Below are 4,692 nucleotides of genomic sequence, written 5' to 3'. Positions count from 1 at the left end.
AATTGTTCTCTACTGGCAAGTCAAGGGGGAAATGTATGCTTTTCTCAAGGAAAATGTTACTTTTATATTAATGTTTCTGGTAATGTACAGCGCCATCTAGTGGAGGCAAGCCAGTATTACAACCCATTGGTGTAACAGGTATCAAACTCTACTGTCATAGTTAGGGTCTATAAGACTTCCACTAACAGTGGTCATCTTGTTTTTGTTTTTGTTTTGAGACAGATTCTTGTCCTGTCACCCAGGTTGGAGTGCAGTTGCATGATCTCAGCTCACTGCCTCTGCCTCCTGGGATCAAGCAATTCTCCTGAGTAGCTGGGACTTCAGGTGCATACCACCATGCCCGGCTAATTTTTTTTTTTTTTTTTTTTTTTGTATTTTTGGTAGAGACAGGGTTTCTCCATGTTGGCCAGGGTGGTCTCGAACTCCTGACCTCAGGTGATCTGCCCGCCTTGGCCTCCCAAAGTGCCGGGATTACAGGTGTGAGCCACTGCATCCAGCCAACAGTGGTAATCTTAATATTCATGTTCTAACTCTACATTTTAAACCTTCTTATAAAATGCATCTCTTTTCATCTAGAAGCAATCAAACTCCAAATGGTGTTGCAGACAGAACCTCACATGGACACGCCATTCTTCTGAGAACCCTTACATCAACCTCAGGAGGAGGCCCAACTGCTGTCCCTCACAGGATGCCCCTTTTTCAGCAGGAAGTAGCCAGAAAGAATTGTCATCCAACACCCCCTAACAGCAGTTAGATTTACTTCCCCAGATGGTGGAAATAGTATGGGAGTTATTTAGAAATAATTTTTAGGCAGCCAGAAAGGGTGAAAGTTCTCAGTGGAATTTTCCTTTAATGAAAAGCAACCCCAAAAGCATTTTTTTTCTAACAGAAAGCGACTTAAAAAACCAGACTAGCAAACACTGATATGCAAATGCTGGCGGCTAGAAGCCAGGTACATTCAACATGGTGTCTCCTGCCCTCTTTATCTTGTCACCATGTGTGCCAGGTGTCATGGCAACCTCCAGATAAAGCCACGTGTGCAGGACATCATGGCAAACCGCATTTGCATATGAAAGGCTAGGGTGGCAGGGCCAGTTTTTTCACGGGCTACCTGAATGACACACCTGGTCAAACCAATCCCCTGGGCCCTATGCAAATCAGACACTGCCTCCTCCAGCCTCCCAATATAACTGACTGCTTTCCGCTGCACGTGGGGTTTTTCCGTTCGGAGCCCCCCTCCCTCTGTACAGGGGAGCAGTTTTCTTCTTTCTTGCCTATTAAACTTTCCACTTCTTGAAACCACTCCATGTGTGTCCATGTCACTAATTTTCTTGGTGAGAGACAAAGGACCCTGGATGTTTCTCCAGACAACGGAGCCGTATCACATTCAGATAGTTGGGGGTGGGAGAGGGGTCTTAGAAATTTAATTTTGGTTTACAGAACTTTAAACAAATATTTCTGTCCAGACTCTACCATCTACCATTTAAATCCGATCTTTGGGGGAGAATCAGGCACAGTATTTCCTAAAAGTTTGCCAAGTTATTTTAATGTGTAACCAAGATTGAGAACCCTTGCTCCAAAACATTACATGGTTGCAGTGATTCAGACTTTATGTTCTCAGAGACTAGACGAATGGCAAGGAGAAGCGTTCCAAAAAAAAGTCATCTGGCTAATGATAATCTAGGGTGAAATATCTGGCATTTATTACTATTTTTTTTTAGGAAGAATATAAAACAGAAAAAAAAGGTTTTACATATAATTCAAAATATCAGGATAGAGACATCTAGTGTTGAATTTAGATGCTTACTCAGAATTTCAGTAATCTGTTCTTCCCCCCTTGGCCAGTATTATTTAAGGTTAAATGCAGAGATATAATTTCCAGTAGTCTTTTAATTTGGACTCTTCAAGACTATGAAGTGGGTGATTTGGTGATTGTGTAGGGGTTGGGGTGGGCCTGTGCCAACATAAATATACTTCTTCGGGCCTTCTAATAAATTTGGAAAAAAAATGACATAGAGCCCTATGAGGCTTGTTATAAATAAATTTTCGGTGCTGCCAAAGAAATAGCACTCTCACATAAAGTTAATTTTCTCAGCAAGGCAATTTTTACTTCTATAGAAGGGCATGACTGGCGGATGGAGCAATGGCAAGAGCACACCTGAACAAGGGAGGAGAAGGGGTTTTTATTCCTGACACAGGTAGCTCCTACTGCTGTGTCGTTCCCTTATTGGCTAGGGTTAGACCACACAGTCTAAGGTAATTCCCATTGGCTATTTTAAAGAGAGCAGGGGTACGAGCCAGAGTGGCGGGGTGAGTAGTTTGGCGGGAAAGGCGGTTACAGAACGGGTGACTCAGGATGAGTCAGGACAGAGCAGGTGACCAGGGGTGACTCAGGTTAAAGCCGGTGACCAGGGGAACAGATGTGAACTACTGATTAGAACTGGCAGGAAAGTTGTTTACTGAAGCTAGAGGCAAGGGGGCGAAGAGAACCAGAAAGTTAAACTTTAAAATGGAGAACACAGAGTAAGAGAACTGAACATACTGACATACTGATTCTTTGAAGAGGAACATGGAGTTCACTATATTTAACAGGCTGAGAACAACATCAAATAATTATCCCCAAACATAAGTATGCTGAGTTGGATTCGATCTTCCTAAATTCCTGTCCTACCACAAATCTAGAGCTTTTGCACCCATTCAACCTGATTTGAGATTAAGATACTTGTCTCTCCAGTCATATGGAAAATCCTAGCTTGCCTCAAGACCTACCCACTGCACAGTGCTTTGAGCTCCTGGCAGCAGCCCTAGGCCCTTCCCTGGTACACTCACTGTGTAGCTCACTGTTCATGGCTTGGCAGTGAGCTAGAAGAGAAATGAGTCTGCAGCAAGAGTGAGAGAGAACCAAACATGAACCCATTATTTGCCCCCTCTATCTCCAAACAGGTAAGTCTGTCTTTGTCTCAAGGAAAGCAGGGAGTTAGAAGCATTGAAAAGAAGTTTGAAATATTCTTCAGTACTGTGCCTTCTCTTTATAAAAATAAGCATTTCCCTTTCCTCAGATGCACAAAAAATATTTTTTGGAGCAAAATGTATCATTTCTGTAAATTAATGTGCTTTAAATGTAAATGATAAGAAACAATAAAGCTTAACTTATTTAGCATTTTCCTGAAATTATGAAAAGCTATAGCAAATAGTGGAAATGTGTATAAAGGGTATACAGTATAAGGTCTTCATGAAAATTTATCCTATTAAAAATAGAGGCTGGGTGAGGTGGCTCACGTCTGTAATCCCAGCACTTTGGGAGGCCGAGGCAGTGGATCATCTGAGGCCAGGAGTTTGAGACCAGCCTGGACAACATGGTGAAACCCCATCTCCACTAAAAATGCAAAAATTAGCCAGGTATGGTGGTGTGTGCCTATAATCCCAGCTACTTGGGAGGCTGAGGAAGGAGAATCACTTGAACCCGGGAGGCAGAGGTTGCAGTGAGCTGAGATTGCGCCACTGCACTCCAGCCTGGGCAACAGAGTGAAACTCTGTCTCAAAATAAATTAATAAATACATAAATAAAAATAAGATTCTGGCTGGGTGTGGTGGCTCATGCCTGTAATCCCAGCGCTTTGGGAGGCCTAGGTGGGAGGATCTCTTGAGCCTAGGAATTTGAGACCAGCCTGGGCAACATAGGAAGACCCCATCTCTACAAAAAATAAAATACTTAGCTGAGCATGGTGGTGCATGCCTATAGTCTTAGCTACTCGGGAAGCTGAGGCAGGAGGATCACTTGAGCCCTGGTGTTTGAGGCTGCAGTGAGCTATGATTGCACTACTATACTCCAGCCTGGGCAACAGAGCAAGACTCTGTCTCTTTAAATAAAATAAATAAATAAATAAATAATACTCTTATAATATGGGGAAGGCACTTTGAGACTAGAGGTCTCAGAAGGATGAGTGCCATTTAAAGTATGCTGTGGGCTCCACGTTAGAGAAAAAGTGAAGACCACATGGAGGTGAAAACCTGCAGTTAGAAGTTTCAAACTATGCTCAGATGGTCTTTATTTTTAATAATGATTTTTTTAAAAAATTTGTGAATAATAGATTCTCTTTTTCATTTAACTTGTAACAGAAATAAGCCTCAATGAAACAATTTGGACCTGAATTTTTCATGCTGAGGAATAGGCCATTTTGCTAATTCCATAATCATATCAACAAATAAACAAATTAGTGTTTATTCAATTTGTTAGAAAATTTGGGATCTCACTTGAGCAGCTGGCTGTCTTTGCTTGCCAAATTAATTGTAATGAATGATCTAATTTCTTAAGTAAATGAATTCGAAAAAATGTTGGATTAAATAGGTTTGTGACTAAGTGGTAGAATTATTAGGTTACCCTATGTTCTGTTAACAAGTATCCTGGAAACTGCATTTTGGAGTCTGGAACTCTATTAACAAATGTCACTTTATAGTAAAGTGTCCTTTGGTCATTAGTATACTCCCAAAATTAGCTGAATGAAGCAATTTGAGTATACTCTAGCAGTTTGAACTTGAGGGCCAATGCTATATTTGATACGTAAGCATGGGACTGGATTTTCACTTCCTATTTTTGAAGGCATGTCTTGGCAGCACAGGCCCTATGCACTTGGCCCATCCAGTTTTGATCATATTCAGCTGTTCCCATAAACAGAGAAAGCCCCATGGCCT

At 41.6% G+C, this 4,692-nt stretch overlaps 1 annotated feature.

The window, feature by feature from the left end:
* Positions 1,984-3,183: an enhancer, noted in NCBI's record as "P300/CBP strongly-dependent group 1 enhancer chr18:29318221-29319420 (GRCh37/hg19 assembly coordinates)". NCBI's record gives its function as "activates an origin of replication core promoter dependent on BRD2, BRD4, P300/CBP, MED14 and CDK7 cofactors, with strong dependence on P300/CBP, by STARR-seq in HCT116 cells {active_cell/tissue: HCT116}" and the evidence as "EXISTENCE:reporter gene assay evidence [ECO:0000049][PMID:35650434]".

The sequence above is a fragment of the Homo sapiens genome, chromosome 18, assembly GCF_000001405.40.
Source record: "Homo sapiens chromosome 18, GRCh38.p14 Primary Assembly".
NCBI classification, from domain to species: domain Eukaryota; kingdom Metazoa; phylum Chordata; class Mammalia; order Primates; family Hominidae; genus Homo; species Homo sapiens.
The sequence above is the reverse complement of the archived record's forward strand: the minus strand, read 5'-3'. Positions and strand labels throughout refer to the sequence as shown.